This window comes from Homo sapiens, chromosome 8 (genome assembly GCF_000001405.40).
Source record: "Homo sapiens chromosome 8, GRCh38.p14 Primary Assembly".
Classification (NCBI taxonomy): Eukaryota; Metazoa; Chordata; class Mammalia; order Primates; family Hominidae; genus Homo; species Homo sapiens.
This window is the reverse complement of record NC_000008.11, coordinates 37,620,292-37,632,322: the sequence shown is the minus strand read 5'-3', so window position 1 is coordinate 37,632,322 and position 12,031 is coordinate 37,620,292. Positions and strand designations below refer to the sequence as shown.

The following is a 12,031-nucleotide window of genomic DNA, read 5'->3' as shown; positions in this document are numbered from 1 at the left end:
TCTTGAACTCCTGACCTCAAGTTATCCACCTGCCTTGGCCTCCCAAAGTGCTGGATTACAGACATGAGCCACCATGCCAGCTGACTTAAGCTGTTTCTAATTTTCATCCATTGTAAAGAATGCTGCAATAAGCATTTTATACAGTTTTTTGTGAGCACTAATTATTTCCTTCATATATATGTATGCAAACACACACGCACATATTTTTGGTGTATCTTGCGATATTGTCTTTTGAAATATTGTATCAATTAATATTCCCACCCACAGTGTATATAAAGAAGCTTGTTTCCCTCACCAATACTGATTATCATCTGCCTTTTGAATCTTCGCCACTGTTGTGTGAAAATGATCTCCTGATATTTTAATATACATCTTTTTTTATTAGTGAGGTTGGACATTTTTCTATATGTCATCGTGTTGATAAGTTTTAATCTCAGAGGAAGTGATGCCATCCTAAGTGAAGGAGGAAACACACACTATGTGATGCTCTTGTTTTAGGTGGTTCCACATAGAACATGTGATGGGTGCTTGACACTCACTGTAGCAGTCAGGTCACTTTCACTTCCTCCTTTCGGTTAATTCCCATAATCTCCCTGTGAAGGCTTTATTGTTATTCTGAACATTTCAAATGTGAGAAGATGGGGCTCAGAGACGTCAGCTGATTGACCTGTGATTTCATGGGTAAAACAAGTAGATCTGGGGTTTGAAGTTCAATTTTCTAAATCCCAGTCTTCATTTCAGTTTACCACATTGTGTTTGCTACTGAAAAATCTAAATCCAGATTCCTGGACAAAAATTTCTCAAATAGAAAAAAATCACTATACTTACTGAGCACGGCCCTGCAGGCCCATTATCTCGTTGAATCCTCATTATGAATCTATGAGGGAAGAGAAAATTATCATCCACACATACAGGGTTTTAACCTTGGAAAGCTATCCAGAATCCATGCTTATAACCACTGTGTCCCACGGCATCTATACCGACTAGCACAGTGCCCTCTCATGTATGCTAAGGAGTCCCCCAGACTGCAGGGCGTTGCTTGAGAATGTGAAATTGATTCAAGGGTGACAAGACAAAATCAGGCTGAGAATTAAGGTTGAGGGATGGTAGGTATACTGTTTTCTTCACCAAGGACACTAGTGGCATTTATGGCAGGACAGTTCTTTATGCAGGTGATCTCCTATATCGCTGGAAGCTTAGCATCCTGGGTTCCTGCCCCCGAGTAGCATCTCTCAGGTCCTCTGACAACACAAACCTCACTCCCTGAATTTCCAGATGCCCTGTGAGTGGGAGTTACTTCCCTGGTTGAGAACCACTGTGCGAAGGGACCCTTCTTTGATAATGGTATGTATTTATGTCTTGGCTGATGTGATTCTGTTGTGTCTGGTATAGTTGTGCTGTTCAGGCCAACCCTCTTGCAGAGGGACTAGGATTTGCAGAATGTTCTGCAAAGGTAATGTGGTATTTCTGGGGCTTCCTTTGAGGCTGATCCTCAGTAACCCTCCGAGCTCGTAGTGTAGCCTCTGTCTGCAGTCAATAAATGTCAATACTTGCACTTGATGGATGTCTGGGTGTCTGCTGTTTTGTGCTGGGCTGTAGCCTATGGCAATCACTTTTCCAGGCCCAGATATTTTTCTTCCTTTTGATTGCAGAGGGAGCAGCAGGCAGGGGAATCGCCTGTTCACAGTCCCATTGCTATAGGGAAAGGCTTTGGAATGGTTGGAACTCAAGCTCTGTGGATTGGCTTCTCTGAAAGCCAGCCGGGCCCAGTCCTCCTGGCCATAAGAACAACTCCACTGGTTTAGCTGAGCCCTTTATGCCAAACCCATGGCATGCCCAGGGCTGTGTGTGAGCTCATGGCATGTGCAGGAAGAGCTGGGGCCTCTAGGGTGCAGTCAGCAGAACTTCAGGAAACTTGGGGAGGAAAAGGCAGTGAGTGGCTACCTGGGGTTTGGCTTTTAGCTCCAAGCTGCCTCCAGCCGGCCGGCCGTGCCCACCAAAGTGGCTCTGTGGCCATACTTTTTAAGGTAGTGGCAGTAGTGCAGTATTGAAACCATTACTTATTTTCAATTTGCCCAGTGAGGAGAGTTTGTAATGGTGGAAACTAGAATATGTGTGCAGAGGAAGAGAATCCTGAAAAAGGAAGTTCTTTGCAGCAGCTACATTTTTAACATAAGGGAGAGTGGTCTTTCTGAGTTCTCCTTCCTCATTTGTGTAGATAGAAGAGATCTCCTTTATCCCTGTCATTTTCTGGGGCTAGGCTATGAACAAAAAAGCTCATGGTTGAAAAGCAATTTTTTTTTTCTCTTGAGTCAGAGTCTCATTCTGTGGCCCAGGCTGGAGTACAGTGGTGCGCTTTCGGCTCACTGCAACCTCCTCCTTCTGGGTTCGAGTGATTTCTCCCACCTCAGCCTCCTGAGTAGCTGGAATTACAGGAGCCCATCACCACACCTGGCTAGTTTTTGTATTTGTTTAAGTAGAGATGGGGTTTCACTATGTTCCCATCCCTTTCCAGGATCTGCTGCTGTGTGTGTTCACTGCCCTTCCTCTGGCACCCACCTTCCCACAGATGTGTTCTGTGGCTTCCTAGGAGTCAGCTGAAGAGAACAGGTGGGACCTTTTTTATTAGGTTGGCACAAATGTCATTGAGGTTTTTGCCATTACTTTATGCAAATTACATTTGCACCAACCTAATTGCAGCTATCAGGGCAGCACTTGCATCTACGGAGAGAAATTACAAAGGATGCTAGGGATGCATGCTTTATGCAGATTCCACTTGTTCACCACTAACTTTGTACCTTTGTTTTAATGTAGACCTGGGTCACAACCCAAGTGGGTAAGCACCTTGGAGTGGTTAAGCCTTGCAGAGTTAGGGCTGACTGAGGAGGATTCTTTCTTTTTTTCTTTCTTTTTTTAAACTGTAATCAAATAGCTTCTTTGTTTACTTCTTAAAACAATTTTTTTTTATTTCCATAGGTTATTGAGGAACAGGTGGTATTTGGTCACATGAGTAAGTTCTTTAGTGGTGATTTGTGAGATTTTGGTGCACCCAACACCCAAGCAGTACATAGCACTCAATTTGTAGTCTTTTACCCCTCACCTCTTTCCCATGCTTTCCCCCCTGAGTCCCCAAAGACTATTGTTTCATTCTTAGGCCTTTGCATCCTCATAGCTTAGCTCCCACTTATGAGTGAGAACACACCATGTTTGGTTTTCCATTCCTGAGTTACTTCACTTAGATTAATAGTCTCCAATCCTATCCAGGTTGCTGTGAATGCCATTAATCCATTTGAGGAGGATACTTTCTATGAGTGCAGTGTGTTACAAACCCATGGTCATCTCTGTAAAAATCCAGACATTCAGCATGGAACCAGCCAGACTCCTGGGCTAAACATAACTCTTTAGCCCAAGAATCTGGCTAGCTAACAGTTGTGTTTCTTAGAATCTTACTTGTCTCTGACTCTAAAGCTCCTTGAGAACTAGTGATGACAAATTTCAGGTGTCTCCCGTGAGCTGGGTGTGGTTTATAATGTGCTGTGCTAGAAAGAGCTTAGAATTTAGCTCAACCAGCCAGGGCCCAGAAATAAGAGGCCACCACTAGTAACTCTGCAAATTGCCTGAGTTTTGATTTCCTTGCCTCTAAAAGGAGTATAATATCTTACCTGAAATGATTGCCTGGAAGATCAATGGAGAAATGTAAAAAGACTTTGGAATCTATGAGGTACTTTCTAGCATTGTCTTTATTATTCTCTGCTCTTAGAAGCTGAACTTTAAAGTCCCTTTCAACTTTAAAATTCTGTGATGTTAGACTCTTCCTAGGACAGATCTCTTTATTCTTCCTTCCCACGAGACACCCACAGTCTCAAGAGGGACATCAAGTCCAAGTGAAATCCAGTGGGATTACTCTCTGTCCTCTTAATTTAGTACAGTTTGGTAGTTGTTTCTTTATTTTTGTTTTAAGTTGAACCAAATAGATCCTTAAAGCAACAATGGGTCTGCGAAGAGCAACACAGCTTCCTTGCCAAGGCTATATTATCAGACATGAGGTCAGCATTGCAGCAGCTGTCTGGGAAGGCTGGTGGGAGGGGGGCACCTTGGTTTGGTGCCTTCTTGATGAGGTGTTTCTGCAGGAATGACTTACACATGCAAGGCAAAAGAGTGTTGAGTTTGGCTAATGCCCACTAGAGAGCTTTCATTACATCAAGTTTAGTTCATGGCTTAAAAAAATATCTTAAATATTAATTTTTTTTTTCTGTGAGGTGGAGGCATAGTTGATCAGTCTTGCCAGGAATAGGAGTTATGGGTGAGGCTTTAATATATAAATGGAAGCAACATTATAGTAGAAAGACAATTGGTCTTGGAGTCTTAAAACCTGGATTGAGACTGGGTCCACCATTAACTAAGCTGTGTGACTTTGGGGAAGTCACTTAACCTCTCCAGTCCACAGGAGTTATACATGTACGTGGAATTTAATAATGTTTGGGGATAGTTATATGTATTACATGGTATAGTAATTACCTTTGCAAAAAAATGAACATTTAAAAATTGATATATAATATACATCTAGAAAACTACCTAAATCATAAACGTACAGCTCGGTGAATAATCACAAAGTGAACACACTCATGTAACCGCCACCAAGATCAAGAATTGTAACATTACCAGTACCCCAGAATACCCTCTCTCTGCCCCCACCCCCAAAAGACCACAATCCTCTGTCCTAACACCATAGATTAGTTTTGCCTGTTTTCGAACTTTACATAAATGAAACTATTCAGTGTGTACTTTTTGTGTCTGGCATGTCTCACTTGTGAGATTCATCCATGGCGTTGTACTTAGCGGCAGTCCATTCATTTATTCTCATTGCTGTGCAATATCCCATGGTATGATTAGACTCTAATGTATCCATTCCACTGTCATTTTTTATTTATTTATTTTTTTGAGACAAAGTCTTGTTCTGTTGCCCAAGCTGGAGTGCAGTGGCATGATCTTGGCTCACTGTGACCTCTGCCTCCCGGGGTCAAGCAATTCTCCTGCCTCAGCCTCCTCTGAGTAGCTGGGATTACAGGTGCCTGCCACCATGCCCGGCTAATTTTTGTATTTTTAGTAGAGACGGGGTTTCATCATGTTGGCCAGGCTGGTCTCGAACTCCTGACCTCAGGTGAGCTGCCCACCTCGGCCTCCCAAAGTGCTGGGATTACAGGCGTGAGCCACTGTGCCCAGCTTATTCCACTGTTCATGGACATTTGAGTTGTTTTCCAGTTGCAACACATGCTTGTTTATGTTGCAGGCATTTCTGTTTGTTTGACATATATCTAAGAATGGAATTGCTGATTCCTAAGGTATATGTATGGTTCAGCTTTGATAGACACTGCCAGATAGGTTTGCAAAATGGGTGTATCAATTTACACCTCCAGGCAGAAGCATGCTTCTGTTACCTTCACTCTTCCTCAACAGTTGATATTGGCAGTTGATATTTTTATTTTGCCATTCTGGTGAGGTATAGTGGTATCTCATTTTGTTTATTCATTTACCTTTCCCCAATAGCTACTGTAGTTAAGTATATTTTCATACACTTACAAGCCATTTAAATGTCTCTTTTTTCAAGCCCTCATGCAAGTCTTTTGTCCACTTTTTATTACATTTATTTTCAAAAGTTCTTACTATATTTTAGTTACAATATATTTGTCGCATATATATATATATAGAGAGAGAGAGAGAGAGAGAGGAGAGCACATATCTTCTACTCTGTGGCTTGCCTTTTCATTCTCTTGATGGTATATTATTACGATAAGAAGTTTCTAATTGTAGTGTTGTTTAATGTATCAACATTTTGCCTTATGACAAGTGTCTTACTGTGTTTTGCTTATGAAATCTTTGTTGGGGTGTGAGGTCCAGTGTCTTTCAGTTACCACCACTGCCTCCTGCAGACCAGAAGACTGCACTGTGACCTGGGGAAGCCTGGAGGCAGCAGCCATGCCTGCCAGGACACCTTCACTCCAACCCCAAGATGCTCCTGGAGTTCCCATGAGCTTGCAGGTAGATCAGGTCCTGGCTGATTGGAAGAACCTGCTGGAGCCTCAAAGTTCCTGACCAGAATCAGGGGCTTGAGAAAGGGTACACAGAGCTTATGGTTTCCATAAACCATGTTGTTTGTCCATCTGACTGTTGGGGAACAGACAGCGTTTTTTGGGCACATTCCTGAAGGCTGCATTTCTAGAACCTTTCTGGAAATACAATCACTGACTCAGTGACACTCTTAATAGCTCTTGGTGAAGGAATTAGACACAGTGGCTCCTGCTTGGCCCAGACTCCTTTTTTAGGGAATCTTCTGTCCTCCCACGTTTTGCTGAGTGAGCAGGACCCATGTGACACTGCCTTCGCTTGTCACAACTGATTGGACCCAGTGTTGGTGTGGGAGCCAGGACTGGCCTGCCTGTGGGCTGGCCAGAGAACAAGAAAGCCTTATGTGGACTGGAACAAAACGTTCACCTAAGCCAGTAAGAGCCTCTCTTTGGGAAATCTGAACCAGGGACCAGAAAGAAATTGTTGGCTGGTGTTAGGTGCCTGTGCTGAAAGGCCAGGTAAAGTTGGGGCAAGGAGTGCTATTTTGGGACTATGTGCTTGCTGAATATATTCGGAACTGAGATGCAGAGAAACCAGTCAGGAGAGAGAAAGAGGAGGGAGTGAGGACCCCAAGAAGAGCAGAGAAATCATGCGTGAGTGAGGGAGTGAGTGAGCAAATCCCTGGTTTCTCCCTTCTCGAGGCCTGATTCAATGTTTCCTGGTTTCCCTGGAGACCTCTGTATACCCCGCAACCACCCTATCTTTTACAGAGCTTGTTTGAATAGGTTTCTTCTGATCTTTACCATCAAAAGAGTTAGGACTAAGTCCAGACCAAAGGTAAGAAAAAAAGAAAAGAAAATATTTATGAGTCATATTTCATTCAATAAATCTTACACAGTTCTAGTGAAAACGGATTCCCCTACAACTTAAATCACCTATCTTATTGACTAGAATAACGTCCATGAGAATAACAGCACTGCTCTTTGGCCATTAAAATGTACATTCTGGATATGTTAGCCATGAGGCAACATGGTGCAGCTCTGATTCTTCATCCTGTAATTATATCATGGCCCCATTGTGAAGCTGGGGCGGTGGGGAGGAGACACATGTGGGCCGTGGGCTGCAGACCGGTCACCTCAGGTCCAGATCAGTGATTTGCAAACGGAACCTCGTGGTGCTCCAAAGGTTGTTGGGGTTAAAAATTGGTTGCATGTTAAATGGCCAAGAGTGGGAGAACGGTTAAATAAATTAGTGGTCTCCAATGAAGGAGTATTTATGGAGTCATTAAAGATGATGTCATTAAAGAGGTTTCTAATCAGATGGGAAATGAGTGGTATAATAATATGTAACACTAACTGGAAAACAGATGTGAAATTTCTAATACAGAGATCTCAATGTTAAAATATTCCTAGAAGACAGCCCAGAAAGAAATATGCAAAAGTATTAACAGTCATGTTATGCATATATATATATATATATATATATATATGCCTAGTTGTTACAAATATATTTGCTTTTCTATATTTTCTATGATTACTTTTATAATCAGAAAAAAACTTTAAAATAAAAATACAAATGAATAAGCTGTTTATTCAGATTCTCAAGGTATTCCATGAGTGTATTCTGAAGTTTCCCTCAATCATCCCTCCCTGGTTTTTTTTTTTTTTTTTTTTTCTGAGACAGAGTCTCCCTTTGTCGCCCAGGCTGGAGCATAGTGGCGTGATCTCGGCTCACCACAGCCTCTGCCTCCTGGGCTCAAGTGGTTCTCCTGCCTCAGCCTCCTGAGCAGCTGGGATTACAGGCCTGTGCCACTGAGCCCAGCTAATTTTTGTATTTTTAGTAGAGATGGGGTTTCATCATGTTGCCCAGGCTGGTCTTGAACTCCTGACCTCAAGTGATCTGCCCACCTCGGCCTCCCAAAGTGCTGGGATGACAGGCGTGAGCCACTGCACCTGGCCTACACCCCTGGTTCTTAATCCGTAAACCAAAATCCCATCCCTTTAGGATGAGGGCATTGGAACCCCCCTTCCCTGCTCAGCCCACGGCTGTGGCTGCCTGTGTGTCATCCTTGGCACAGCCCCCGCTATCTTTCTCAGGAGATGTGAGGACAATAATGGCTCAATTTTTCCAAGTTGTGAAATAGGATGAGAATCCAGCTCTGGAATTACGGAGCCAAGCTGGGATCTGGTTTATAAAAAAAAGTGGGAGAATCGCTTTGAGAATCACTCTGAGCAGCAACAAATGCTTTGAGATCTTAGAGAGGCAGCTCCTCTCTCCAGTTGCAGGTGCTAGCTAAAGGTAGGTGGGAGGTGCTGGGTACTGCAGAGCTGAAATTTTATTTAACCTTCACAACAGTCCAGTGAAATAGGTTTTATGATCTTCATTTTGGCAATAAGAAAACAAACTAATCCTAAAACAAAACAAAATGAAACAAAACAAAGGATCCAGCTTAGAGGTAAAGTAATATTCATAGGCAACTGATGGCAGATCCAGAACTCAAAACCACCCCACCTTTTTATTTCTATTTATTTTTTAGTTTTAATGTTTATTTTATTTTATTTTGAGACAGGGTCTTGCTCTGCCACTCAGGCTGGAGTGCAGTGGTGTGATCTCAGCTCACTGCAACCTCGACCTCCTGGGCTCAAGCAATCCTCCCACTTAAGCCTCCCGAGTGTGTGGACTACAGGCATGCAGCACCATGCCTGGTTGATTTTTAAATTTTTTTTGTACAGGCGGGTTCTGCCATGTTGCCAAAGCTGGTCTTGAACTCCTGGCCTCCAGTGATCCTCCCGCCTCAGCCTCCCAGTGTTGGGATTACAGGCGTGAGCCACTGTGCCTGGCTACCTCTTCTTTTTATTTGTAACTCTGAGGAGAATGATCATGTATGGGGTCTTTACTATGTGATGGGCCCTGAGCTGAATGATCTGCCCATATTATCTCCCTTAGCGTCCACAGCAGCTCAGTGAAACGGAGCCTATTAATGTTTCCATCTTACAGTGAAGAGCTGGGGTTGGAGAAACTTGCCGATGGTCACAGAGTGAGTCAGAGGCAGAGCCAGCCTGGGACCTAGGTTGGTCTGAGGCCAGGATACAGTTCTGGCCACTGCAATGCCTAGTGACCCTCCCAGCATGGGGTGTCCAGCAGCAGGGCCCCAGAAATGCCAAATTCAGAGCAGCAACCATGTCTAATCTCTGTAGTCCTACACTCTGGCCTTCAGATCCTGCCAATCCACCAGGCCACAATCAATGCACCAATTAATCAATCAGTGCGTCTAGTTTGGAGTGAGGAAATTCGGGGCTTGGTGATCTTCAGGGTCTCTCTCAGCTCAGTGAACGCAAAATGTCAGTGATCCCTGGCCTGCGGTTTAGTCCTTTGCTAAATGCCGGGGAGCCAAGGATGGAGGAAGCCTAGACTCCTGGCTTGTCCTCATGGAGTTTAGGGGAGAGCTTGGGGGAGACACAGGAGATTAACACACATAAAACTATCAGGCAAAAATGATGAGGTGGTGGAGAGTGTGGTGCAGAGTTCAAATTCTGTGATCAGCATGGATGGAGGAGTTGAAACAGGATTCTCTACGTGCGTGCATGTGTGCGTGTGTGAGTGCAAGTGTGGATGGGAGTGTGTGAGTGCGTACGTGCATGTGTGTGTGTGAGCGTGGGTTGTATGAGTGTCTGAGCATCTGGAAGAGTGTGTTGTGTGTTCAGGGCATTGAAGGACTGGTGGTGTTTGAGTGCAGGGTGTTGGGGGCCTGGTTTAGAGGAGACGAGCATGAGGACTTCCCTGGTCTTCTGAGAAATGGAAAGTAGAGGGACGAGGAATGGCTGGGGACAGAGAGTAAGACAAGATGACTCAGGTGGCCAGGTGCAGTGGCTCACTCCTGTTTTCCAGCACTTTGGAAAGCCAAGGCAAGAGTATCGCATGAGGCCAGGAGTTCGAGACCTTCCTGGGCAATGTAGCAAGACCCTGTCTCTACAAAAATAAAAAAAAAAAATAGCTGGGCATAGTGGCACGTGGCTGTAGTTCTGGCTACTCAGGAGGCTGAGGCAGGAGGATGGCTTGAGCGAGAGTTTGAGGCTGCAGTGAGCCATGATAGGGCCACTGCACTCCAGCCTGGGCAACAGAGTGAGACCCTGTTTCTAAAAAAAAAAAAAAAAACCAAAAGAAAAAAAGAAAGAAAAAACAAAAAGAAGACTTGGGGACCCCACATCTTCTGGCAGCAGAAGGATTGTGAAACTGCCTTGATCTCTGGCTGGAATGAAGGTGAGGGAGGTTGCTCTGGGGACAACACAGAGGGGAAGGACAGGAGCACTGGTAACACTGCAGGGTTCCGTTCTGTCTGTGTTCTCCTCTCACCTGGTCTCCAGGAAAACTTGCACCCTGTTTACAGGCAGGGACCTGGACTTTTGGGGTGAGAGCTAAATGCCTCAGCCAGATAAGCCTGGGTCCAGAGGAAGATGAAATTCCACACCTTGCTGTGGAAGGCAGGCCTGAGACCACGTGAATGCAGGGAAGAGGCCCCTGGTGGAATTGTCAAGGTGAGGAGGCCCTTTAGCCCTGGGTGGAGGGACTGTGTTGTCTGAGCCAAAGACAAAGGCCCCCTCCTTTTGACAAAAGACTTTTTCTGATTTACTGCAGGTGTACAAATAAGTTACATGGAGCTCTACATTTCATTAATTGCCTTTATTGAGAAACAGTAACATTAGAAGAAAGTGATGTAATTTTGGTTCATATGCTCATGGAACCAAGGCAATATTTACTGGGGTCTTTGAGGTAGTTCTTTCCTGCAGTCTGGGGTCTCTGAGAAGGACAGAGTGGGGTCTCAGTAGGAAGTGGCCATCAGAAGGCTCTATGCAAGACCCTAGTCCTAGGGAACCTCTTGCAACCATTGGGTAGAACTCCACAGGCCTGCAGAGGTGGCCTGACCTGTTACATGAGGATTCTTCACCTTGCAAAGTTGGTCCTGAAAGTGTTTTTCTTTGGGTTGGGTGGACATAGGGTTTCTTGGAGGGCTAAGTGCAAAGATAGAATTATCCTTCCCTGCAGTGCCCTGTGGCTGGAGGGCTATAGTCATTGGGCCAGGAAAGTGGATCTCCTGCTTTTTCTGCCCTCTGTCCCACCCACCCACTGGAGCCACATCCAGAACATCTGCAGTCGTTTGCAAAATACAAGTTCCCAGGCCTTGCGTCGGCACTATTTTCTTTCCTGCACACATGCAAAGACCTTTGAGTCGGCAGCTCTGTTTTATAAGGTTGCTATTTCCTGCCCTTGCTTTATTACATCTGTTCTTTGGGGCATGGTGTTATAAATTGGGCATGTGATGATGTGTAATCGCTAACTGAAAAGCCAATACATTTTCACTGTACCGGCCACAAGACAAATAAACGGCAAAATGAAAGGTTTGTGCTCTTTAACAAAGGGGAAAGCACACAACAGACATATTAAAGAAAAAAATCAAATTGCAAATTGAAAATGTTGTCATCTTAGGAGACTTGTTTTCTTGGGGCAGTCTGGCTGGTGCCTGCCTCCTGAGAGTGGGGTGTCTTGATGGCTGGGGGTGGGGAGGGTGAAGGGCAATGTTTTATTCCTCTTGGGAACCACATTATTGTTGGGCTTTGTAAACCCTCAGGCTATTGCCCCAGGAGCTTATGAGCTGGGATGCGGGTGGCCCTTGGTTGAGAACAACTGGTCTATGGTCAGAGACATTTGGAGAAATAGATAAAGAGAAAGATAAAGAGACGCCTACGTGTTTGTGTTCATAGAGTGTATGTCGTAGAGTGATCGTCACTCAGTAGAAATTCAGTAAAGCCTCTTGTTGATGGTGATGTGTGTGTAGGGCAGTGTTATCTATAATAAGGGCTTTGGAAGGAATGTTGCTCAGGGTGTTCTGATTCGGTGCTCTCCGTAGAGGTTGAGCACCTGCCTGCTGAATAGGATGAGTGCGTGTGTCTGTTTGGAGCATATTTTG

General features: G+C 44.5%; 1 long non-coding RNA gene across 1 annotated transcript in view, besides 1 other annotated feature; it reads left to right on the top strand.

Moving 5' to 3' along the window:
• Window positions 1-12,031, top strand: part of LOC105379380 (uncharacterized) — a 55,679-nt gene that overhangs the window by 26,263 nt on the left and 17,385 nt on the right. The window lies entirely within an intron of this gene.
• Window positions 599-648: an enhancer, noted in NCBI's record as "active region_27227". NCBI's record gives its function as "activates an Ori minimal core promoter by ATAC-STARR-seq in GM12878 lymphoblastoid cells {active_cell/tissue: GM12878}" and the evidence as "EXISTENCE:reporter gene assay evidence [ECO:0000049][PMID:35858748]".